This window comes from Homo sapiens, chromosome 1, assembly GCF_000001405.40.
Source record: "Homo sapiens chromosome 1, GRCh38.p14 Primary Assembly".
NCBI lineage: Eukaryota > Metazoa > Chordata > Mammalia > Primates > Hominidae > Homo > Homo sapiens.
The window spans coordinates 160,929,953-160,956,716 of record NC_000001.11 but is presented as its reverse complement, the minus strand read 5'-3'; the positions used below and the strand labels follow the sequence as shown (position 1 = coordinate 160,956,716).

Sequence of the window (26,764 nt, the reverse complement as noted above, 5' to 3'; positions counted from 1 at the left end):
GACCCCGTTTCTACAGAAAAGAAAAGAGTTTTTTTTGTTTTTTGTTTTTTTTGAGATGGAGTTTCACTCTTGTTGCCCAGGCTGGAGTGCAATGGTGTGATCTCGGCTCACTGCAACCTCCGCCTCCTGGATTCAGGTGATTCTCCTGCCTCAGCCTCCTGAGTAGCTGGGATTACAGGCATGCACCACCACGACCGGCTAATTTTGTATTTTTAGTAGAGACCGGGTTTCTCCATGTTGGTCAGGCTGGTCTCGATCTTTTGACCTCAGATGATCCACCCACCTCGGCCTCCCAAAGTGCTGGGATTACAGGCGTGAGCCACCGCGCCCAGCCCAAAAAAAGAGTTTTTAATAATATGATGTTGATAATTGTACTGTGGTTATACATGACATATTCCTATTATTAGAAAACACACAGTTGGCCAGGCATGGTGGCTTACACCTATAATCCCAGCACTTGGGAGGCCGAGGCAGGTGGATCACGAGGTCACGAGTTCAAGACCAGCCTGGCCAAGATGGCAAAACCCCGTATCTACTAAAAATACAAAAATTAGCTGGGCGTGGTGGTGGGTGCCTGTAATCCCAGTTACTCGGGAGGCTGAGACAGGAGAATCACTTGAACCTGGGAGGCGGGGGTTGCAGTAAGCTGAGACCATGCCATTGCACTCCAACCTGGGTGACAGAGTGAGGCTCTGTGTCAAAAAACAAAACAAAATAAAAAAAACCCATACGCATTTATTTAAAGGTAAAAGCCCATGATGTATGTACCTTACCTTCAAATGGTTCAGAAAAAAATTTTGTGTGTGTGGGTGTATTTTATATACATATATCTATATATATATAGAGAGAGAGAGAGAGAACACGAAAGATAAAGCAAATGGGGTGAAATATTAACAATAGTTGAATCTAGGTAAAGGGCATATATGTGGCTTTATATTATTGTTATTTTTGCAACATTTAATAAATTTCAAATTGTTTCTAAACAGAGTTAATAAAACAATAAAATTACAGCAGGATACATGCAATAATTAGTGTTTGGACAGTGTATAGTGGGACAAAGGAAGGATCCATCAGCTTTGTCTGGTGATGGGGGTGTCAGGGAAGGCCTCATAGAGAAATTGGAGGAAAGATTGGAAGGATGATGTCTTCTTTTCCCATTTATTTATTATTATTATTATTATTATTATTTTGAGGTGAAGTCTTGCTCTGTTGCCCAGGCTGGAGTGCAGTGGAGCAGTCTTGGCTCACTGCAACCTCCACCTCCTGGGTTCAAGCAGTTCTCCTGTCTCAGCCTCCAGAGTAGCTGGGATTACGGGTGCACGCCACTGCACCCAGCTAAATTTTTGTATTTTTAGTAGAGACAGGGTTGCACCATGTTGGCTGGTCTTGAACTCCTGACCTCAGGTAATCCGCCCACCTCGGCCTCCCAAAGCGCTATGATTATAGGTGTGAGCCACTGTGCCTGGCCAATTATTATTCTTAATTAATTAATTTATTTTTCATGAGGTGTCACCTCAGTCTAAAAGGATGATTTCTTGACAGAGTTGTGTCTAGGGGGCCAGGGCATCTGGGGGAGGTGGGAGAGGGAGAACGCAGGGGAGGATTGTGACCTATCCACGAATCTGATTAGATACTGCTACATTGTATGGCCTGCCTTGGCAAAGCAGGATGCCCCTCCTCAGATGGCGACAGTCACCTGTGTGGCCAGGAACACAGCTCCCTGCTCCTCCAGCCAGTCGCACGTCCTTTCTCATTTCCACGGTCCCAGGCTCAGGTACCCTCAGAGGGAAGGGCTTCAGAGGGAGGGGCTAGCAGCCTAGGCTGCTCAGGGTTGGGCTGGGCAGGGCTCAGGTGGTTTGGCTCTCCACAGCTCTCCACATAAAGGGACCAGCACTTCACCCTTCATCAGGATCCTCTGCAGGGGAGCTCCGAGTGTCCACAGGAAGGGAACTATCAGCTCCTGGCATCTGTAAGGATGCTGTCCATGCTGGTGAGAAAAATGTTTTTGATCCATGTGTGTGGGAGCAATGATGCCAGCTCAGGTCTCAGTTTTAGAGATTTAGAGTTTCAGGGAAATGAGCCCATGGCCCCTTGGGTATTTGTAGTGTTGGACAGCCGTGGGGCATATTCCAGGAGGTTTTAGAATGCTCATGAGCCCATCACTTTCCATTTGAGGATTCCTGACTCAGAAAGGTTAGGAAGTAAGAACGAGAGGATGACAAAGGAAGGGCCAGCCAGTGACCTTGTGCATCTTGTTTTTCCTTAGAGGACAATGACCAGACTCTGCTTCCTGTTATTCTTCTCTGTGGCCACCAGTGGGTGCAGTGCAGGTAAATGGCTTCTGAGAGTAGGAGCTGCAGTTTCCTGGGCTCCCCTCTGCTGTGCAGGGCCTGGAGGGAGTAGAGCTGGGCAGGGCTCTGAAGTCAAGGGTCAAAGGGGAAGTTCTGGAGAGGCAGGGAACCCAGGCTAGGCAGCCAACTTGAGGTGTGGACTGGGTGCTGATTTCTGGCCTCTCCTGGGGTCTGGTCTGAAGCAGTCAGGGTGTTAGCTCAGGTATTTCCTAGGGCTTGATTCTCTGCTTCTGTGGCTGTGAGGGGTTCATGGGGTGAGAGAGTAAGAACTGTGTCCCTGCTCAGCTGCTCTTGTGGCCTTGGCCTTGGGATCTCCAGAGGCAGCTGGGTGATCAGTGCTGTGTCCAGGGTACACCCTCCTCTAGTCGCAGAGGAGGATATTGTGAGAATAGAATCCTCACAATTCTATTCTTCCAGTAGGCACAATAGTGATATTTTTTCATTGATACTGGGTTTATTGTTTATTTCAATCCATCAGTTAAAAAAAGCACATTTACATATGTCATCTCATTTGATCTCCATGCGTATAAAGAAGTTATTAATGACATCTTAAAGATGAAGAAAAAGGATCAGAGATGTTAAGTGTCTGCTCAAGGAGGCACTGTCATCAGGGTTTGTCTGGATTTTACCTTGAGTCCTGTAATTTTTTTTTTTTTAGACGGAGTCTTGCTCTGTTGCCCAGGTTGGAGTGCGGTGGCGTGATGTCGGCTCACTGCAACCTCCGTCTCCTGGGTTAAAGAGCTTCTCCTGCCTCAGCCTCCCCAGTAGCTGGGATTACAGGTGTGCACCACCACACCCCAGCTAATTTTTGTATTTTTAGTAGAGATGGGGTTTCACCATATTGACCAGGCTGTTCTTGAACTCCTGATCTTGTGATCCACCCTCCTCGGCCTCCGAAAGTGCTGGGATTACCGGCATGAGCCACTGTGCCTGGCCTGAGTCCTGTAATTTTACACTTTTTCCCGCTCTGCCAGGCTTTTGGAATGATTTCTAGGCTTTTAGACTTATATACATGGCCCTTCATCCACTGGCCTCTGTTAATTTTTCAGCTTTGGTTTCCAGACTTCTTTGTATTACAACATATGTTCCAGCCACAATAAGCGACTGACCTGTAGTTTTTGGCAGGCTGGGCTGGGCTGGGCTCTGTTATTGCTTCAGGCCATCTCATGTGCTTTCTTCTCTTCCTGGGGTGTACTCTCCCCTTTCCTTCCTGTCCTGTAGCCAGCTCCCATTCTCCCATCAAAATCAGCCTGCTCTGAGTTACAGCTGGTCCCTTCCCCAGCAGTTCCCAGGCCTCACCCCCGTTAGTGGGTTTGCCCTCCCATCTCAGTTGGGTCCCTTTCCATGTGCTCCTTCCTTGTAGAATGTAGTCTCTTGAAGAAATGTGTCAAATTGTCTTTGTCCGGTGTCTAGGTAGTTCACACAGTAGGTATTTAATTAAAATTAGTCGAGTGGAAGATTCCAGGTGTTTAACCTATACCAGCTGTTGGATCAGACCGTCTTAGCATAGGGAATCCCTGACCTCCTGGGACTTCAGAGCAGAGTGATGAGTTGATACAGGGGCAGAGATTGGCCAGGAAAGATGGCCTCAGTGGTCAGACTTCTAATGAGACTCATTCTCACATTTTCTAGCAGCAGCCTCTTCTCTTGAGATGCTCTCGAGGGAATTCGAAACCTGTGCCTTCTCCTTTTCTTCCCTGCCTAGAAGCTGCAAAGAAATCAAGGAACGCTGCCATAGTGCAGGTGGTGAGTAATGAACCAACTCAGCATTCTCTCTTTGAAGCCACTTTTTAGCTCAACAGAGCCCAGTCATGGAAATCAGGAGGGACATATCCATATGGAGCCTGTTCTGCCCCCAGCTCCTACTCAAGGAGGTTTCTAGTGGGAATTTTGAGGCTTTTGTGTCCCATTCCAGTCACAAAGTCTTCTGAACACAGAGAGAATGCAGTGTTCCTGGTGATGCTTATGGTGGTGGCAAGAACTGTGATGCGTCTGAGATTTGCCCCTACTTGCCCCAGGTTTATAGATGCTGGCAGAAAACCTGAAACTCCCGAGCCAGAGACAAAGAGCTTTATTAATCACAGAAATAGCAGTAGCCAGAGCATCAGCATTTTCTTGTACTGGGCCAGGTGACATCTGCCCAAGTAGTGGGTTTGTCAAGCTGGCTGACAAATGTGGCTGGCAAGGAAACAACAAACCCTTTTTAGAGCCAGAGAGTTTATTACTCACATAGCTAGCAAGTTCAAGATCGGCAAAAGTGTCAGCTTTTCCCATCCCTTGCCCCACAAGACAGCACAGAAAAGAGGGCGAGTGACAACACAACATGGGCAGTGGCTGAGGAGCCAGTCCATGCTGCCATAGCTGTTTCATAGCCTGTGTACCCTACGGGGTGGGGGTGAGTGAGGCAAAAAGCCTCATACCTCTTCAGAACCCAGGAGATGATGACACAGTTATGACAGCTGTCTCATGACAGCCTCCACGAAAGATGGGAAGGGGGGTGAGAAGTGACCTTGTTGCAGCTCCTCACAAGGTTCCCATCTTTCCATGTTTGGGGAAGACCACAGGCTTTCTGCCAAGACTTAGGTCAGCTGTCCCTATGTGGCCTATGCGCAAATGTGCAAGGTCACCAGGATGCCACCGTGGAGCCAGTCTCCTGCAAGCTTGTGAACAGGAGGGGAACTCTGAGCTTAGGGAAGCTGAATCTTATGAAGTGGGCACAACCTTTGCTCTGAGCTGCACAGAGGCCCTATCCTGCTGTAGAATCAGATGTGGCGTGTGCTGATTTCTGGCCTCTCCTGGCCACAGGGTGGCACTGTCGAGAGGGAGATACCATCTCTGTCTCTTCTAAGACTATTTGCTCTACAAACTCTTTGAAAAGATAGTGTGAAGCCAAGACAGTCAGTGCCTCTGCTCATAGGTGAGCAGAACACAAGATGCATGGAGCATCGTCTTCCAGCAAGTATGTGTTGGAGTCTTCTGAGTGTGCTTTTGACTTCCTAGGGCTTTTCTATTCACGGAGCTGAGATGAACCCTGAGCTCTCAGACAGGGAGGCTCTGGGCTGGTTCTCTCTACAGATGGCCTGTATTTTCTCCGCACCAAGAATGGTGTTGTCTACCAGACCTTCTGTGACATGACTTCTGGGGGTGGCGGCTGGACCCTGGTGGCCAGCGTGCACGAGAATGACATGCGTGGGAAGTGCACGGTGGGTGATCGCTGGTCCAGTCAGCAGGGCAACAAAGCAGACTACCCAGAGGGGGATGGCAACTGGGCCAACTACAACACCTTTGGATCTGCAGAGGCGGCCACGAGCGATGACTACAAGGTTGGTGCCACTTCTCTCCTACTTGGGTGAGGGTGAGGTGTGGAGTGTGGCTGGCCACCAGCCTGCAGGAGGGAGGGCTGGAAGGTGGGGATATGGGGAAGGGCTGGAGAAGAAGAGAGAAATACAGGACTTGAATCACAACTTCCTCTCAACAAGGCTGTTAGGGCCCTGGGTGGTGGTGGGATCATCAGCTGGGAGTGGGGTGTCTGAGCGTGGCTGGCCATCTGCCTACTGATCCCAGAGCTCTCAGCCCAGCTGAGGCTGCACATGTGGACCTTCTGCCTCCTGGTACCTCCTGGCCCAGTCAGGCTCAGTGTCTGTTGCTTTCCAGAACCCTGGCTACTACGACATCCAGGCCAAGGACCTGGGCATCTGGCATGTGCCCAACAAGTCCCCCATGCAGCATTGGAGAAACAGCGCCCTGCTGAGGTACCGCACCAACACTGGCTTCCTCCAGAGACTGGGACATAATCTGTTTGGCATCTACCAGGTACACAGGGCTGCTGGCTGGGGGGCACTTTCTTTGGTGAACAGAGATCGAAGTGTCTAGGGTAGGGGGCAGATCTGTCCTGTGGTTCCACATCACTACTGAGTGGTTGGCTGTTTCTCCTTCCTTTGATTCACTGTGAACTCATGTCTGGCCTCTCAGAAACTCTAAGCCAGCAAGGAAGAGGCCTGTGGGACAGGAAAGCATGGGGAGAAAGAGACAGGGACAAGGGGTTTGGGGCTGTTGGGGAGACACAGCTATGGGGAAAAGCAGTCACTATTATGAGGATTGGTTTTGGGTAATGGCAGTTAATTTGAAACCCCTCCTCCCCCCACACTGTGGCAGCATCTCTACTGTCCTCACAAAACCTTTCTTCTGGGTCTCTGCAGAAATACCCAGTGAAATACAGATCAGGGAAATGTTGGAATGACAATGGCCCAGCCATACCTGTGGTCTATGACTTTGGTGATGCTAAGAAGACTGCATCTTATTACTCACCGTATGGTCAACGTGAGTGTTTGCTCCCTAAGTCCAGTCATAAATATTTTCTTGTACTCTTGGAGAATGGTGGCAAATAACAACAATTAATAATTGCTAGTATTTACTGAGCACTTAAAATGCACCAGACTCTTGTCTTGGAACTTAACATGATTTTGTGTCATTTAATTACCATGAGAAAACTATGAAGTTAGAATTGCTGTTATCCCCATTTCACAGCACGTAATCCCAGGTTTCTTCATCACCACCTTGTATACTCTTATAATTGTGGGGAAAAGAAAAAGAGATCAGACTGTTACTGTGTCTATGTAGAAAGAAGTAGACATAAGAGACTCCATTTTGGTCTGTGCTGAGAAAAATTCTTCTGCCTTGAGATGCTGTTAATCTGTAACCCTACCCCCAACCCTGTGCTCACAGAGACATGTGCTGTGTTGACTCACGGTTTAATGGATTTAGGGCTGTGCAGGATGTGCTTTGTTAAACAAGTGCTTGAAGGCAGCATGCTTGTTAAAGGTCATCACCACTCTCTAATCTCAAGTACCCAGGGACACAATACACTGCGGAAGGCCGCAGGGACCTCTGTCTAGGAAAGCCAGGTATTGTCCAAGGTTTCTCCCCATGTGATAGCCTGAGATATGGCCTCGTGGGAAGGGAAAGACCTGACTGTCCCCCAGCCCGACACCCACAAAGGGTCTGTGCTGAGGAGGATTAGTAAAAGAGGAAGGCCTCTTTGCAGTTGAGATAAGAGGAAGGCATCTGTCTTCTGCTTATCCCTGGGCAATGGAATGTTTTGGTGTAAAACCCGATTGTATGTTCTATTTACTGAGATAGGAGAAAACCACCTTAGGGCTGGAGGTGAGACATGCTGGCGGCAATACTGCTTTTTAATGCACCGAGATGTTTATGTATGTGCACGTCAAAAGCACAGCACCTTTTCTTAACCTTGTTTATGACACAGACATTTGTTCACATGTTTTCCTGCTGACCCTCTCCCCACTATTACCCTATTGTCCTGCCACGTCCCCCTCTCTGAGATGGTAGAGATAATGATCAATAAATACTGAGGGAACTCAGAGACTGGTGCTGGTGCGGGTCCTCCTTATGCTGAGCGCCAGTCCCCTGGGCCCACTTTTCTTTCTCTATACTTTGTCGCTGTGTCTCTTTCTTTTCTCAGTCTCTCGTTCCACCCAACGAGGAACACCCACAGGTGTGGAGGGGCAGGCCACCCCTTCAATAATAGTTAAGAAAAGGTGCATACAAAACATTAGCTGGGCATGATGGCGCATGCCTGTAATCCCAGCTCCTCGGGAGGCTGAGGCAGGAGAATCGCTTGAACCTGGGAGGCGGAGGTTGCGGTGAGCTGAGTTCACACCACTGCACTCCAGCCTGGGCAACAAGAGCGAAACCCTGTCAAAAAAAAAAAAAAAAAAGTGCACACTGAGGTTCACAGGAAAGAACCACTAGCAGAGTGGTGAGAGAGATTTACTTTTGTTATGAAGGATAACTTTAATTATCTTACAAAAGACAGTTTTCAGTATAATAAGAGCACAGAAGTTAAGTTGTGGATAAAAAAATCAAAGACATCACTGTTTGCCTTTGATATTTTGATGAAAGCAGGTGATGGTCAGGGAAACTAACCCATGGTAATTGGATGAGAAGTGTGTAAACAGCAATAGGCAGCCACATCTGATCATTGCTTATTCCTGCTGGGCCTTCTCAGATCTTTTTGGTAATCTTTTTGTAGAGTCTAGTTTCTCCTGTAAGCTGTAAGCAGACCTGGGTCCTTTTGTGAGTCCCAGCCTTTGTCCTCTTGCCCCCTATGAACAGAGGTTTCCTTGGGGACAAGTTTAGGACTGACGTGCACCAGCCACTGGCCATAAAGGTACTGGGCTGCACCCCTACAGCCTGGGGTGTTTGGCTGTAGCCTCAGCTTTTGGCTTAGGGAATCCCTGGACTGGCCAATGGGATGCTGCTTCTAGTTCATCCTTTGACTACTTGGCTGTTTCTTCACCTCTTCTTTTTCAGGGGAATTTGTTGCAGGATTCGTTCAGTTCCGGGTGTTTAATAACGAGAGAGCAGCCAACGCCCTTTGTGCTGGGATAAAAGTTACTGGCTGTAACACTGAGCATGTGAGTTTTTGGGGAGATCAATGGCCCACGTGTGGGGAAAAGAAAGAGAGATCAGATTGTTACTGTGTCTATGTAGAAAAGGAAGACATAAGAAACTCCATTTTAATCTGTACTAAGAAAAATTGTTTCTGCTTTGAGATGCTGTTAACCTGTAACTTTAGCCCCAACTCTGTGCTCACAGAAACATGTGCTGTAATGAATCAAAGTTTAATGGATTTAGGGCTGTGCAGGATGTGCCTTGTTAACAATATGTTTGCAGGCAGTATGCTTGGTAAAAGTCATCGCCATTCTCCATTCTTGATAAACCAGGGACACAATGCACTGCGGAAAGCCGCAGGGACCTCTGCCCAAGAAAGCCTGGGTATTGTCCAAGGTTTTCCCCCACTGAGACAGCCTGAGATATGGCCTCATGGGAGAGGAAAGACCTTACCATCCCCCAGCCTGACACCCGTAAAGGGTCTGTGCTGAGGAGGAGTAGTGAAAGAGGAAGGCTTCTTTGCAGTTGAGGTAAGAGGAAGGCTTCTGTCTCCTGCTCATCCCTGGGAATGGAATGTCTGGGTGTAAAGCTGACCACTCCCATTCATTCTATTCTGAGATAGGAGAAAACCGCCCTGTGGCTGGAGGCGAGATATGCTGGCAGCAATACTGCTCTGATACTCTTTGCTACACTGAGATGTTTGGGTAAAGAGAAACATAAATCTAGCCTATGTGCACATCCGGGCACAGTACCTTTCCTTGAACTTATTCATGATACAGATTCCTTTGCTCACATGTTTCCCTGCTGACCTTCTCCTTACCTGTTGCCCTGCTACACTCCCCTCACTAAGATAGTAAAAATAATGATCAATAAATACTGAGGGAACTCAGAGGCTGGCACCGGAGCAGGTCCTCCGTATACTGAGTGCTGGTCCCCTGGTCCCACTGTTCTTTCTCTATACTTTGTCTCTGTGTCTTATTTCTTTTCTCAGTCTCTCATCCCACCTGACGAGAAATACCCACAGATGTGGAGGGGCTGGCCCCCTTCACCATGTGTGTGCATGGGTATGCACATGTGTGTACCTGTGTGGGGTGTATCAATGTGTGTCTCTGTGGTTACTCGCTTACTCTCATTCTGTTTACTCTCATTACTCTCCTGATGATGTCTTATGAATATAATTTATTTTTTATTTCTTTTTTTTTCTTTGAAGAGTCCTTTTCTTTCTTTTTTTTTTTCTTTGAGACAGAGTCTCGCTCTGTCACCAAGGCTGGAGTGCAGTGGCGCGATCTCAGCTTACTGCAAGCTCCACCTCCCGGGTTCATGCCATTCTCCTGCCTCAGCCTCCCGAGTTGCTGGGACTACAGGGGCCCACCACCACGCCCCACTAATTTTTTTTGTATTTTTAGTAGAGACGGGGTTTCACTATGTTAGCCAGGATGGTCTTGATCTCCTGACCTCGTGATCCGCCCGTCTCGGCCTCCCAAAGTGCTGGGATTACTGGCGTGAGCCACCACGCCCAGCCTGAAGAGTCCATATTTTTAATAAAAATTAAGTGGTACAAAGTTTGGAGTAGTAGATGCCAGAAGTTGAGTATAATTTATTTGTCTTTTAAATCTTATGTATTTATTTATTTATTTTTTGAGAGGGAGTTTCACTCTTGTTGCCTGGGCTAGAGTGCAATGGCAGGATCTCTGCTCACTGCAACCTCTGCCTCCCGGGTTCAAGTGTTTCTCCTGCCTCAGCCTCCTGAGTAGCTGGGATTACAGGAATGCACTGCCACACCCGGCTAATTTTTTTGTATTTTTAGTAGAGATGGGTTTAGTAGAGATGGGTTTCTCCATGTTCTCAAACTCCTGACCTCAGGCAATCTGCCCACTTTGGCATCCCAAAGTGCTGGGATTACAGGCATGAGTCACCGTGCCCGGCTGAGTATAATTTATTTTAATGGAATTCAGTTTATCAAACTTTTCATTTATGGTTAGTACTTTTAATGTTTTCTTTAAGATGTACCTCCTTACACCGAGGTCGTGAAAATATTCTCCAATATTAATCTTAACTTTTAGAAGCTTTATATTTTTATTGTTTTTCCAGTCTTGTAGGAGACAGCACCACAGTTGTAGTGGTGGGAGATTGTATTTGAGGGACATCCTGTGCCTAGGGGTTGGAGGAAGAGAGCGTCAGAGCCATCAAGAACAAGGGCATTCACTTAGGGCCCCCTTCCCTCCCCAACTGACAGTCTGAACTCACGGTTCCATCTTCCCTGCCCCAGCTTTCAGCTTTTTCATTTTCCAGCTAAGATGAGGCAGCTATTCTCTCATGGAGGGACTCGCAGATTAGAATTCGGAGGATGACGACCACGTGGGCAGTGGGGGTGGACTAGAGTATATGTCTTTATGCCCTTTTCCTTGACAAGTTTCTCTACTGGCTCTGTGCTCCTCAGACTGTCCATTAGTGCGTGTTTGTGTATGTTCCTGCATGCATTACTACTTTAAAATACATGCATAGGGCCAGGTGTGGTAGCTCACACCTGTAATCCTAGCACTTTGGGAGGCCGAGGCAGGCGGATAACTTGAGGTCTGGAGTTCGAGACCAGCCTTGCGCTCACTGGTGTCAGCAGCAAATCAAATTCCTCACAGTGTTTCTTCTTTCTGTTTCCCAGCACTGCATCGGTGGAGGAGGGTTCTTCCCACAGGGCAAACCCCGTCAGTGTGGGGACTTCTCCGCCTTTGACTGGGATGGATATGGAACTCACGTTAAGAGCAGCTGCAGTCGGGAGATAACGGAGGCGGCTGTACTCTTGTTCTATAGATGAGACAGAGCTCTGCGGTGTCAGGGCGAGAACCCATCTTCCAACCCCGGCTATTTGGAGACGGAAAAACTGGAATTCTAACAAGGAGGAGAGGAGACTAAATCACATCAATTTGCAACTCTATGTTTCTTTGAATTCTTTTTATAAATTGGCTGATGTGTTGAGGGATATTTTAAAAGAATACCTATGGTTCTGGTGAATTCCACCTCACATATTCTGGGCTTGCACAGTGGCTAGGAAGAACCCATTGAATAAAAATAAATGTTCACTTCAGCAACACATATACTAAAATTGGAACAATACAGAGAAGATTAGCAAAAAGATATAAAAAAATTGAAAAATAAAAAGACATTCTGGGCCAGGGATGGTGGCTCATGCCTGTAATCCCAGCACTTTGGGAGGCCGAGGCAGGTGGATTGCCTGAGGTCAGGAGTTTGAGACCAGCTTGGGCAACATGGCAAAACTTCATCTTTACAAGAAGTACAAAAATTAGCTAGGAAGTAATGCGTGCCTGTAGTCCCAGCTCCTCAGGAGGCTGAGGTGGAAGGTTGGCTTGAGCCAGGGAGGCAGAGGTTGCAGTGAGCCAAGATCTCGCCATTGTACTCCACCCTGGGTGACAGAGCAAAACTTTACCCAAAAAAAAAAAAAAAAAAAGAAAAGAAAAGAAAAATAAAGACAAAGACATTCTGGGTTTGGAATTTCAAGTCTCATCTGTCCCAGAACACAAGTATGTTCCTGTTTTTAGGAGATCCCTGAACTGGATTTAAGGACAAGAGAAAATATTTCATGTTAGTTCTTCCTAATGCACCTTTATTAGCTAATTAAATTAAGCCTTCAATATAAACATATTAAAGAAGAGAAACAGGAGATAGCACAATCACCCATTTCTTTTATTCTTCCAGCTTTAGCAGACAGGGTAGTCTCTCCAGAGGTGCATGTGCCTGGCCACATCTGGAATCCCAACTCTAGTTGCTTACTAAAAAGGAGAGATGGCCAGGTGTGGTGGCTCACACCTGTAATCCCAGCACTTTGGGAGGCCGAGGCAGGCGAATCACAAGGTCAGGAGTTTGAGACCAGACTAGCCAATATGGTGAAACTCCATCTCTACTACAAATACAAAAATTAGCCAGGTGTGGTGGTGTGCACCTGTAGTCCCAGGTACTCAGGAGGCTGAGGCAGGAGAATCGCTTGAACCCAGTAGGTGGGGGTTGCAGTGAGCCAAGATTGCACCACTGCACTCCAGCCTGGGTGACAGAGCGAGACTACATCTCAAAAAAAAAAAAAAAAAAAAAGAGAGCCAGGCATTCCAATCAGGTCTCAAACAGGATGTTGACTACAGCAGTCCTGGCTGGTGAAGAGGGCTTGGACGTCTTATAGTTTTTTTGCTCCAGGCTGGGTGCGGTGGCTCATGCCTGTAATCCCAGCACTTTGGGAGGTCGAGGCGGGTGGATCACGAGGTCAAGAGATCGAGAACATCCTGGCCAACATGGTGAAACCCCGTCTGTACTAAAAATACAAAAATTAGCTGGGTGTGGTGGTGGGTGCCTGTCATCCCAGCTACTCGGGAGGCTGAGGTAGGAGAATCACTTGAACCCCAGAGGCGGAGGTTGCAGTGAGCTGAGATCGTGCCACTGCACTCCAGCCTGGGCAACAGAGTGAGACTGCGTCTCAAACAAAACAACACAACACAAAACAAACAAACAAAAAGTGCTTTGCTCCAAATGCAAATCTAATCATAACATTTCCCAAACCCATTACCACACTTTTTCTCCATTGCTCCCTGTGGACTAGAGCATTGGTTTTCAAATGGGATGGGAGGTAGGAGATGTAGTGGTGATTTTACCTCTCAGATAGGGTTTTTCACCTCTCAGATAGGGTTGCCAGATTTAGCAAATAAAGATATGGAAGGCCAACTTAAATTTGCATTTCAGATAAACAATCGATAATATTTTTAGTATGTTTGTCCCATGCAATATTTTACCTGGCAACCCTACATCTAGGGAACATTTGGCAATGTCTGGAGACACCGCAATGAGTGGTGGTGGAAGGCCTGGCAGGAGCGCTACTGACATCTAGTGAATAGAGGCTGGAGATGCTGTGAAACACCTTACACTGCACAGGACATCCCTGCTCCATGACAAAGAATGGTCTGATCTCAAATGCCAGCTGTGCTGCCATTGAGAAACAGAGGATTTTGTTTAAATTCTATAGAATGGAAGTCATGAAGCCCTGACAGCTGAAGGCAATAAAGAACTTTTTTTTTTTTTTTTTGAGATGGAGTCTTGCTCTGTCGCTCAGGCTGGAGTACAGTGGCAAGATCTTGGCTCACTGCAACCTCTGCCTCCCAGGTTCATGCCATTCCCCTGCCTCAGCCTCCCAAGTAGCTGGGACTACAGGCACCCACGACCATGCCCGGCTAATTTTTTGTATTTTTGGTAGAGACAGGGTTTCACTGTGTTAGCCAGGATGGTCTTGATCTCCTGACCTCGTGATTTGCCTGCCTCAGCCTCCCAAAGTGCTGGGATTACAGGGCTGAGCCACCGTGCCAAGCCCAAGAGCATTTAAAAAAAGAGATTTAAGGCCAGGCATGGTGGCTCACGCCTGTAATCCCAGTACTTTGGGAGGCCAAGGGGAGCGGATCACCTGAGGTCAGGAGTTCGAGACCAGCCTGGCCAACTGGTGAAACCCCATCTCTACTAAAAATATTAAAAATTAGCTGGGTGTGATGGCAGGTGCCTGTAATTCCAGCTACTGGGGAGGCTGAGACAGGAGAATTGCTTGAACCTGAGAGGCGGAGGTTGCAGTGAGCTGAGATTGTGCCACTGCACTCCAGCCAGGGCAACAAATAGTGAAATTCCATCTCGAAAAAAAAAAAGATTTGAACAAATGTACCCAATGGCTTTTTTTGTGTGTTTTGTTTTTATAGTTTTCATAAGGGTCTATTTTATTATTGGTGGGTAACACATTTAATATTTAAGCCCGTTTAAATAATGTATAGACGACTGCATGCAACATGCACCATGGCTGTAACTGGATAGAGAACCAAGTCAACTGAAGACCAGCTAACAAGAAACTAAATATTTAAAATACTAAATATTGGGAAGGGTTCCAAGATGGCCAAATAGGAACAGCTCTGGTCTGCAGTTCCCAACGTGATCAATGCAGAAGACGGATGATTTCTGCATTTCCAACTGAGGTACCTGGTTCATCACATTGGGACTGGTTGGACAGTGGGTGCAGCCCACGGAGGGTGAGCTGAAGCAGGGTGGGGCATCACCTCACCTGGAAAGCACAAGGGGTTGGGGGATTTCCCTTTCCTAGCCAAGGGAAGCTGTGACAGACTGTAGCTGGAAAATCAGGACACTGTCACCCAAATACTGTGCTTTTCCAATGGTCTTAGCAAATGGCACACCAGGAGATTATATCCTGCACCTGGCTCAGTGGGTCTCACGCCCACAGAGCCTTGCTCACTGCTAGCACAGCAGTACAAGATTGAGCTGCGAGGTGGCAGCCTGGCTGGGGGAGGGGACGTCTGCCATTGCTGAGGCTTGAGTAGGTAAACAAAGTGGCCTGGAAGCTTGAACTGGGTGGAGCCCACCGCAGCTCAAGGAGGCCTGCCTGCCTCTGTAGACTCCACCTCTAGGGGCAGGGCATAACTGAACAAAAGGCAGCAGAAACTTCTGCAGACTTAAACATCCCTGTCTGACAGCTCTGAAGAGAGCAGTGGTTCTCCCAGCACAGTGTTTGAGCTCTGAGAATGGACAGACTGCCCCCTCAAGTGGGTCCCTGACCCCTATGTAGTCTAACTGGGAGACATCTCCCAGTAGGGGCCAACTGACACCTCATACAGCTGGGTGCCCCTCTGAGACGAAGCTTCCAGAGGAAGGATCAGGCAGCAATGTTTGCTGTTCTGCGATATTTGCTATTCTGCAGCCTCTGCTGGCGATACCCAGGCAAACAGGTCTAGAGTGGACCTCCAGCAAACTCCAACAGACCTGCAGCTGAGGGACTTGACTGTTAGGAGGAAAACTAACAAACAGAAAGGAATAGCATCAACATCAACAAAAAGGACATCCATGCCAAAACCCTATCTGTACTTCACCATCATCAAAGACCAAAGGTAGATAAAACCACAAAGATGGGGAGAAATCAGAGCAGAAAAGCTGAAAATTCTAAAAACCAGACAGCCTGTTCTCCTCCAAAGGATTGCAGTTCCTCGCCAGCAATGGAACAAAGCTGGATGTAGAATGATTTTGACAAGTTGACAGAAGTAGGCTTCAGAAGGTCATAATAACAAACTTCTCTGAGCTAAAGGAGGATGTTCAAACATATCGCAAGGAAGCTAAAAACCTTGAAAAAGGATTAGGCGAATGGCAAACTAGAATCAACAGTGTAGAGAAGACCTTAAATCACCCGATGGAGCTGAAAACCATGGCACGAGAACTATGTGACGCATGTACAAGTTTCAGTACAAGCTTCAGTAGCCAATTCAATCAAGCAGAAGAAAGGGTATCAGTGATTGAAGATCAAATTAATGAAATGAACTGAGAAGAGAAGTTTAGAGAAAAAAGAGTAAAAAGAAATGAACAACACCTCCGAGAAATATGGGACTATGTGAAAAGACCAAATCTACGTTTGATTGGTGTATCTGAAAGTGATGGGGAGAATGGAACCAAGTTGGAAAACATGCTTCAGGATATTATCCAGGAGAACTTCCCCAACCTAGCAAGGCAGGCCAACATTCAAATTCAGGAAACATAGAGAACACCACAAAGATACTCCTCGAGAAGAGTAGTATCTTGGTGAATCTGACACATAATTGTCAAATTCACCAAAGTTGAAATGAAGGAAAAAATATTAAGGGCAGCCAGAGAGAGAGGTCAGGTTACCCACAAAGGGAAGCTCATCAGACTAACAGCATATCTCTCAGAAGAAACTCTATAAGCCAGAAGAGAGTGGGGGCCAATATTCAACATTCTTAAAGAAAAGAATTTTCAACCCAGAATTTCATATCCAGCCAAACTAAGCTTCATAAGTGAAGGAGAAATAAAATCCTTTACAGACAAGCAAATGCTGAGAGATTTTGTCACCACCAGGCCTGCCTTACAAGAGTTCCTGAAGGAAGCACTAAACATGGACAGGAACAACCGGTACCAGGCACTGCAAAAACATGCCAAATTGTAAAGACCAGCGATGCTAGGAAGAAACTGCATCAACTAACAAGCAAAATAACCAACTAACATCATAATGACAGGATCAAATTCACACATAATTAAACTTAAATGTAAATATTAACAATATTAACCTTAAATTTAAATGGGCTAAATGCTCCAATTAAAAGACACAGACTGGCAAATTGGATAAAGAGTCAAGACCCATCAGTGTGCTGTATTCAGGAGACCCATCTCACATGCAGAGATGCACATAGGCTCAAAATAAAGGGATGGAGGAAGATCTACCAAGCAAAAAAAAGCAGGGGTTGCTATCCTAGTCTCTGATAAAACAGACTTTAAACCAACAAAGATCAAAAGAGACAAAGAAGGCCATTACATAAAGGTAAAGGGATCAATTCAACAAGAAGAGCTAACTATCCTAAATATACATGCACCCAATACAGGAGCACCCAAATTCACAGAGCAAGTCCTCAGAGACCTACAAAGAGACTTAGACTCCCACACAATAATAATGGGAGACTTTAACACCCCACTGTCAATATTAGACAGATCAACGAGACAGAAGGTTAACAAGGATATCTGGGACTTGAAGTCAGCTCTGCACCAAGCTGACTTAATAGACATCTACAGAACTCTCCACCTCAAATCAACAGAATATACATTCTTCTCAGTTCCACATTGCACTTATTCCAAAATTGACCACATAGTTGGAAGTAAAGCACTCCTCAGCAAATGTAAAAGAACAGAAATCATAACAAACTGTCTCTCAGACCACAGTGCAATCAAATTAGAACTCAGGACTAAGAAACTCACTGAAAACTGCACAACTACATGGAAACTGAATAACCTGCTCCTGAAAGACTACTGGGTACACAACGAAGGCAGAAATAAAGATGTTCTTTGAAACCAATGAGAACAAAGACACAACATACCAGAATCTCTGGGACACATTTAAAGGCAGTGTGTGGAGGGAAATGTATAGCACTAAATGCCCACAAAAGAAAGCAGGAAAGATCTAAAATTGACACCCTAACATCACAATTAAAAGAACTAGAGAAGCAAGAGCAAACAAATTCAAAAGCTAGCAGAAGGCAAGAAATAACTAAGCTCAGAGCAGAACTGAAGTAGATGGAGACACCAAAAACCCTTGAAAACATCAATGAATCCAGGAGCTGGTTTTTTGAAAAGATCAACAAAATTGATAGACCACTAGCAAGACTAATAAAGAAGAAAAGAGAGAAGAACCAAATAGATGCAATAAAACATGATAAAGGCGATATCACCACTGATCCCACAGAAATACAAACTACCATCAGAGAATACTATAAACACCTCTATGCAAATAAACTAGAAAATCTAGAAGAAATGGATACATTCCTGGACACATACACCCTCCCAAGACTAAACCAGGAAGAAGTTGAATCTCTGAATAGACCAATAACAGGCTCTGAAACTGAGACAATAATTAATAGCCTACCAACCAAAAAAAGTCCAGGACCAGGCAAATTCACAGCTGAATTCTACCAGAGGTACAAAGAGGAGCTGGTACCATTCCTTCTGAAACTATTCCAATAAATGAAAAGCAGGGAATCCTCCCTAACTCATTTTATGAGGCCAGCATCATCCTGATACCAAAGCCTGACAGAGACACAACAAAAAAACAGAATTTTAGACCAATATCCCTGATGAACATTGATGCAAAAATCCTCACTAAAATACTGGCAAACCCAATCCAGCAGCACATCAAAAACCTTATCCATCAAGATTAAGTTGGCATTATCCCTGGGATGCAAGGCTGGTTCAACATGCATGAATCAATAAACGAAATCCATCACAAAAACAGAACCAAAGACAAAAACCACATGATTATCTCAATAGATGCAGAAAAGGCCTTTGACAAAATTCAACAGCCTTCATGCTAAAAACTCTCAATCAACTAGGTATTGATGGGACATATCTCAAAATAGTAAGAGCTACTTATGACAAACCCACAGCCAATATCATACTGAATGGGCAAAAACTGGAAGCATTCCCTTTGAAAACTGGCACAAGACAGGGATGCCCTCTCTCACCACTCCTATTCAACACAGTGTTGGAAGTTCTGGGCAGGGCAATCAGGCAGGAGAAAGAAATAAAGGGCATTCAATTAGGAAAAGAGGAAGTCAAATTGTCCCTGTTTACAGATGACATGATTGTATATTTAGAAAACCCCATCATCTCAGCCCAAAATCTCCTTAAGCTGATAAGCAACTTCAGCAAAGTCTCAGGATACAACATCAATGTGCAAAAATCACAAGCATTCCTATACACCAATAACAGACAAAGACAGAGAGCCAAATCATGAGTGAACGCCATTCACAATTGCTACAAAGAGAATAAAATACCTAGGAGTCCAACTTACAAGGGATGTGAAGGACCTCTTCAAGGAGAACTACAAACCACTGCTCAATGAAATAAAAGAGGACACAAACAAATGGAAGAACATTCCATGCTCATGGATAGGAAGAATCAATATCGTGAACATGGCCATACTGCCCAAGGTTATTTATAGATTCAGTGCCATCCCCATCAAGCTACCAAAGGCTTTCTTCACAGAATTAGAAAAACTACTTTAAAGTTCATATGGAACCAAAAAAAAGCCCGCATTGCCAAGACAATCCTAAACAAAAAGAACAAAGCTGGAGGTATCACACTACCTGACTTCAAACTATACTACAAGGCTACAGTAACCAAAACAGCATGGTACTTGTATCAAAACAGAGATATAGACCAATGGAACAGAACAGAGCCCTCAGAAATAACATCACACATCTACAACCATCTGATCTTTGACAAACCTGACAAAAATAACAAATGGGGAAAGGATTCCCTGTTTAATAAATGGTGCTGGCCAATTGTAGATGGCCATTTCTACATATGGCTAACCATATGTAGAAAGCTGAAACTGGATCCCTTCCTAACACCTTGTACAAAAATTAATTTAAGATGGATTAAAGACTTAAATGTTAGCCCCCTGCCGGCCAGCCGCCCGATCCGGGAGGGAGGTGGGGGGCAGCACCCGCCTGGCCAGCCTCCCCGGCCGGGAGGGAGGTGGGGGTCAGCCCCCGCCCGGCCAGCCTCCCCATCCGGGAGGGAGGTGGGGGGTCAGCCCCCGCCCGGCCAGCCGCCCCCTCTGGGAGGGAGGTGGGGGGTGCCTCCGCCCGGCCGCCCCTTCTGGGAAGTGAGGAGCCCCTCTGCCTGGCCACCACCCCGTCTGGGAGGTGTACCCAACAGCTCATTGAGAACGGGCCATGATGACGATGGCAGTTTTGTGGAATAGAAAAGGGGGAAAGGTGGGGAAAAGATAGAGAAATCAGATTGTTGCTGTGTCTGTGTAGAAAGGAGTAGACATGGGAGACTTAATTTTGTTCTGTACTAAGAAAAATTCTTCTGCCTTGGGATGCTGTTGATCTATGACCTTACCCCCAACCCTGTGCTCTCTGAAACATGTGCTGTGTCCACTCAGGGTTAAATGGATTAAGGGCGGTGCAAGATGTGCTTTGTCAAACAGATGCTTGAAGGCGGCATGCTCATTAAGAGTCATCACCACTCCCTAATCTCAAGTACCCAGGGACACAAACACTGTGGAAGGCTGCAGGGTCCTCTGCCTAGGAAAGCCAGAGACCTTTGTTCACTTGTTTACCTGCTGACCTTCCCTCCACTATTGTCCTATGACCCTGCCAAATCCCCCTCTCTGAGAAACACCCAAGAATGATCAATAAAAAAAAAATAATAAAAAAAAAAAGAAGAAGAAGAAGAAAAGAGGAAGAGGAAGAGGAAGAAGAAGGAACTAAAAAACAATAGCTGACATGAGAAAAGCCTGGTAAATCCGGGGCAAGTGACAGAGGAGACTCTTGAGTTCTTCCTCAAAGCCAAGGAAAAAAGATCAGCCTTGTCCACCACCAGAAGCTCCAGGGAGTCACGGAGTTTCAAGCTGTCTTGCTGCAAGTGGCTTAATATGCGAGATGGGGTCCCCACTACCACATCTGGCTTCTCCATCAGCACAGCTCTCTGAAAGGCTGAATCTTCAGCAGCTGAGGCATTGGCCACTCGGACATCCCGAGCACAGTAGGTAGCTAGCCACTGAATCATGGACTGTGCCTGCTGTGCCAGCTCTTTGGTAGGAGCAAGAACAAGGCCTCTCACTGCGTGTTCTACTACTGGACCTGTCGCCGTCCTGTGGAGCAACAGCTGCAGCATCAGAATAGCATAAGCAGCTGTCTTCTTGGAGCCCCTGCCAGCCTGAGCCAGGAGGTCCTTCCCCTCTAGGGCCAATGGGATAGCCTTTTCCTGGATCACCGTAGGTCACGAGCAGCCCAAGTTGTTGACAGCCTGCAGGAGCCAGGGATCAAGGCCCTATGTGTTCGAAGCTCAGTGCTTCTGAGTCTGCCATGGCGCTGCTCTGTAGCGACAGCACATACGTGCTGCAGGAAGAATCATTTTTTTTTTTGTTTTGTTTTGATATGGAGTCTCACTCTGTTGTCCAGGCTAGAGTGCAGTGGTGCCATCTTGGCTCACTGCAACCTCTGCCTCCTGGGTTCAAGCGATCCTCCTGCCTCAGCCTCCCGAGTAGCTGGGATTATAGGTGCCTGCCACCATGCTTGACTAGTTTTTGTATTTTTAGTAGATACAGGATTTTGCTATGTTGGCCAGACTGGTCTTGAACTCCTGACCTGAAGTTATCCCCCAGCCTCGGCCTCCCAAAGTGCTGGGATTACAGGTGTTAGCCCCTGCGCCTGGCCAATCCTAGCACTTTGGGAGGCTGAGGCAGGTGGATTGCTTGAGTCCAGGAAGTTCAAGACCAGCACCAGCGACATGGCGAAATCCAGTCTCTACAAAAAAAAAAAAAATAAAAAATAAATATATATATATATATATAGCATATATATACAATATATATGTACATATATAAATATATATTATATATAAATATTACATATAATTCTATAAATGTATATATAAATATATAATATATGTAAATATATATTTATATTATTATATATTATTATATTATATATCATATAATATTATATATAAATATAAATATATAATATATATAATATATAAATGCATATATATATTATATACATATATAAATGCAGCTCTTGTTTTGATCACCTTCTTTGAGGGGAGGAAGTCTGTTGGTCACATTGTGTTTTAAGGGTACCTGGAATTTGTTTTGGGTATGGTAAGGCATACAGACACAAAAATGACTGTCATGAAGGAAGTTTTTTGTTTTTTTTTTGTTTAGAAATGGAACTTTGCTCTAACCTCTGCCTCCCAGGCTCAAGTGATTCTCCTGCCTCAGCCTCCTGAGTAGCTGGGATTCTGGGATTATAGGCATGCGCCACCACCACGCCTGGCTAATTTTTTGTATTTTTAGTAGAGAAGGGGTTTCACCATGTTGACCATGGCTGGTCTCGAACTCCTGACCTCAGGTGATCCACCCGCCTTGGCCTCCCAAAGTGCTGGGATTACAGGCATGAGCCACTGCCCCTGGCCAGGAAGTTTTTACTCACAGTTCGTACCCAGTGCTTGATGGGGAGTTTGGGTTTGGTAGTCACTTGATGCTCCTTAGTCATACATTTAGCCTCTCCAGCACCCAGCAGCAAGGCAGGAGCTGTTCAAATGGAGAATAATTGGCAGAAGACCAAACAGAAACAGTCTTACTCTAAAACCCTAGAGGTGAGTGGTGTGGTTCTCCTATTGGGGCTTGTCAGAGACTCCATACAATACCTTTTCCCTGTGGTATTCTTTTTTTAATTTTTTTTTTTAGTATTTATTTATCATTCTTGGGTGTTTCTCGGAGAGGAGGATTTGGCAGGGTCATAGGACAATAGTGGAGGGAAGGTCAGCAGATAAACATGTGAACAAAGGTCTCTGGTTTTCCTAGGCAGAGGACCCTGCAGCCTTCCACAGTGTTTGTGTCCCTGGGTACTTGAGATTAGGGAGTGGTGATGACTCTTAACGAGCATGCTGCCTTCAAGCATCTGTTTAACAAAGCACATCTTGCACCGCCCTTAATCCATTTAACCCTGAGTGGACACAGCACATGTTTCAGAGAGCACGGGGTTGGGGGTAAGGTTATAGATTAACAGCATCCCAAGGCAGAGTAATTTTTCTTAGTACAGAACAAACTGGAGTCTCCCACGTCCACCTCCCTCCACACAGACGCAGTAACAATCTGATCTCTCTCTCCTTTCCCCACATTTCCCCCTCTCTATTCCACAAAACCGTCATCATCATCATGGCCCGCTCTCAATGAGCTGTTGGGCACACCTCCCAGACGGGGTGGCGGCGGGGCAGAGGGGCTCCTCACTTCCTAGACGGGGCGGCCGGGCAGAGGCGCCCCCCCACCTTCCACACAGGGCGGCGGCTGGGCGGAGGCACCCCCCACCTCCCGGACGGGGCGGCTGGCCGGGCAGGGGCTGCCCCCCACCTCCCGGACGGGGCGGCTGGCAGGGCGGGGGCTGACCCCACCTCCCGGATGGGGTGGCTGGCTGGGCGGGGGCTGCCCCCCACCTCCCGGACGGAGTGGCTGCCGGGCGGAGGGGGCTTCTCACTTTCCAGACGGGGCGGCTGCCGGGCAGAGGGGCTCCTCACCTCTCAGATGGGGCGGCCGGGCAGAGACGCTCCTCACCTCCCAGACAGGGTGGCAGCCGGGCAGAGAGGCTCCTCAGTTCCCAGACGGGGTCGCAGCCGGGCAGAGGCGCTCCCCACATCCCAGACGATGGGCGGCCGGGCAGAGAGGCTCCTCACTTCCCAGACTGGGCGGCTGGGCAGAGGGGCTCCTCACATCCCAGACGATGGGCAGCCAGGCAGAGACGCTCCTCACCTCTCAGACAGGGTGGCGGCCGGGCAGAGGCTGCAATCTCGGCACTTTGGGAGGCCGAGGCAGGCGGCTGGGAGGTGGAGGTTGTAGCGAGCCGAGATCACCCCACTGCACTCCAGCCTGGGCAACACTGAGCACTGAGTGAGCGAGACTCCGTCTGCAGTCCCAGCACCTCGGGAGGCTGAGGCGGGCAGATCACTCACGGTCAAGAGCTGGAGACCAGCCCGTCCAACAGGGCGAAACCCCATCTCCACCAAAAAATACAAAAACCAGTCAGGCCTGGCGGCGCGCGCCCGCAATCCCAGGCACTGGGCAGGCTGAGGCAGGAGAAAAAGGCAGGGAGGTTGCAGCGAGCGGAGATCATGGCGGTACAGTCCAGCTTCGGCAACAGAGGGAGACCGTGGAAAGCCGGAGAAGGACAGAGGGAGAGGGAGACCGAGCAGAAAGCGGGAGAAGGAGAGTGAGAGGGAGGGGGGAGGGGGAGGGGAAAGGGAGAGCTAAAATACCTTTTCCAACTAGCAATCTTATATGGTATGCTCAACCATAAGGTCCACGTGGAAGGAAAATTTTCATCAAAGCCTAGACTTGCCGTGGAGGCTTTTCTTGCTTTGTGCCCCACTTAAAATTGGCCTAGATGAAAGCAGCAGGCTCACATGTTATATGTGTTGCTTTCAAAATCCAGAGACCAACCCTGACCCAGTATTGTTTTTCACCTTGGAAAGATCATTCTGACATAGAAAATTCACTGATATGGCATATTCTGCATATAGCCTGCCAATTCTTTGGTAATTCCCCCCACCCCACCAAATTTGGGCGGGCTTAGTGACTAAGTTTTCATGAAAAGAATATGGCAGAAGTGTGACCTCTGAGACTGCATCCTAAAAAATGATACAGCTTCTTCCTGGCTTTCTCTTTCTTAGGACTTGTGCCTTCGGATCCTGATTTATTAAGTGAGAAGTCCACTATCCTGAAGCTGCTATGCTGGAGAGACCATGTGAAAAGATCATATAGAAGTAGAAAGATGCCCAAGAAGCCATATATGCTTCTTTCTGTAGCTGTTTCAGTCTGCCCACCCAGGGATCGGACATGTTAGAGAAAGAGTCTTAAAGATTATCCCAACCCCAGCCACCATGTGACTGCAACCTCATGAAAACCCCACACCAGAACAGTGGTATCAGCTCAAACTTTGCAAGGGCTAGGAGACTGAGGGCAGCTGACCAGATTTATGTGATTGAGCCTAATAAACTGGCCTGAGTAAGCTTCCCTGGTTGACAATATTCTGCGAGTATTATCACACACTGGATGTCAGGAAATTAACACTGTCCACAACTCATGGAAAGGACAACTGGGAGTTCTGTGTTTAGAGCTTTCCTGAACTCTGCCCTATGTACCCCTTCCCTTGGCTGATTTTAACCTGTATTCTTAGCTGCAATAAACCGTAACTTTCCATGAGCACTGTGAGTTTGTCTTGTGAATTATTAAACTCACGGGTGGTCTTGGGGTCCCCCCAAGCTGACAATTAATGTCAGAGAGGAGGAGGATATTGGGGGACCCCAACCTTGCAATCGGTGTCAGAAGTGAGGGTGGTCTTGTGGGCTGCTCCTCTAACAATGTATCCAGCATAACCTTGATATGAAAATCTCACAAGAGTATCACAAGAAAAGATAATTATAAGCCAACCACCCTCATGACTGTATATGCAACAATTCTAAACAGGATATTAACAAACCTACATATGAATTTGAGAGGACATAAATGTTCAGATCATAGCATTGCTGAGCATTCTGTATGAATATAGACATAATTCAAGACCAAGACTGATGATTGCTATTGTGAGTTGAACTGTGTTCCCTAAAGTGGTATGTTAAAGTCCTAATCCAAGGTACCTGTGAATGTGACCTTATTTGGAAATGAGATTTTTGCAGATGCAACTATTTAAAATGCAGTTATAGTGGATTAGGGTGGGCCCTAATTCCAATATAACTAATATCCTTATAAGAAGAGAAGAGACACAGATGCAGAAACACACACAGATGGAAGGCAGCTGTATGAAGACGGAGGCAGAGAAGGGAGTTATGTGGCCACAAATCAATAAATACCAAGGATTGGCCAGGCATGGTGCCTCATACCTGTAATCCCAGTACTTTGGGAGGCTGAGGTGGGATGATTGCTTGAGCCCAGGAGTTTGAGACCAGCCTGGGCAAAAAATACAGTGAAACTCCATTTCTATCAAAACCAAAAGCAAACAAACAAAAAACCCAAGGATTGCTTTCTACCTGAAGCTGGATGAGGCAAGAGAAGATCCTCCTGCAGAGTCTTTGGACAGAGCACAGTCCTGCTGATGCCTTAATTTTGGACTTCTCACCTCTGAAATAGAGTAATTTCTTAAAAAGCCACCTAGGTTGTGACAATTTGTTATGGCAACCCTAGGAAACTGACACAATTGTGTCATTGTTTTTTTCTCTCTACTAGTTTTAAAATTGTAAGCTTTTTTTCTATCCTTTTAGTGGCTGCTCTAGAACTAACAGCAGGCTTCATGAATGTTTTCTAATCACAAATTTGTGTGTTTATTTCTTTTAAAAGCATTAATTGCGAGCCTATTATGTGCCAGAACATATTCTAGATGCTGGGGATATAGCAACAAGTCAGGTACACATTTCTGCCTTTCTGGAGATTGTACCCTAGTACCAGGAAATATACAATATGCTATAAAAATAAATAATAGAATGTCAAGTTTTTATTTATTTATTTATTTTTATTTTTTTAAACCAGGTCTCCTTATGTTGCCCAGCTGTTCTTGAACTCCTGGGCTCAAATGATCCCCCCGCTTCAGCCTCCCAAAGTGCTGGGATTACAGGCATGAGCCACCACACCCAGACTAGAATGTTAAGTTTGAAAAGTGCTATGGAGAAAAAGAAAGTTGAGTAGCGACATAGATATATTGGGGGTGGTGGTGGTTTACAACTTTAATAGATCTTTAAAGAAGACTTCAGTGAGAAGGTGACATTGAGGAAGGATCTGAAGAAGGTGAGGGATTGAGCCATAAAGTACCAGGCAGAGGGAATAGCAACTGCCAAGGTATTGAGATGGGAGTATCTTCACTGCGTTCAGGGAGCTGCAGGGAGATTTGGCTAGCAGAAGCTGC

General features: G+C 46.5%; 1 protein-coding gene and 2 long non-coding RNA genes across 4 annotated transcripts; 2 read left to right on the top strand and 1 right to left on the bottom strand.

Annotated features, from left to right (window-relative positions):
* The first annotated feature begins 1,907 nt into the window (after positions 1 to 1,907).
* On the top strand, positions 1,908 to 11,692 carry ITLN2 (intelectin 2). Of its 2 annotated transcripts, none has more exons than XM_024453321.2 (8): positions 1,908 to 1,990; positions 2,267 to 2,330; positions 3,987 to 4,097; positions 5,427 to 5,674; positions 6,006 to 6,164; positions 6,551 to 6,671; positions 8,685 to 8,788; positions 11,425 to 11,692. In XM_024453321.2, the coding sequence occupies exons 1-8, from the start codon at positions 1,976 to 1,978 to the stop codon at positions 11,575 to 11,577; spliced, it is 975 nt and encodes a 324-aa protein (XP_024309089.1). In that variant the 5' UTR covers positions 1,908 to 1,975; the 3' UTR covers positions 11,578 to 11,692. The 2 variants fall into 2 exon arrangements, with proteins under 2 accessions (XP_024309089.1, NP_543154.1); NM_080878.3 differs by having other exon boundaries at positions 3,984 to 4,097.
* Positions 6,795 to 24,252, bottom strand: LOC101928372 (uncharacterized). The gene is made up of 6 exons (NR_110695.1): positions 24,126 to 24,252; positions 23,391 to 23,800; positions 22,316 to 22,407; positions 11,759 to 11,859; positions 11,518 to 11,651; positions 6,795 to 8,066 (listed from the first exon to the last, which is right to left on the bottom strand). It is a non-coding gene; the product is annotated as an uncharacterized LOC101928372 (long non-coding RNA).
* On the top strand, positions 22,391 to 25,071 carry LOC124904441 (uncharacterized). The gene is made up of 2 exons (XR_007066689.1): positions 22,391 to 22,472; positions 24,540 to 25,071. It is a non-coding gene; the product is annotated as an uncharacterized LOC124904441 (long non-coding RNA).
* The last annotated feature ends 1,693 nt before the right edge of the window (positions 25,072 to 26,764 follow it).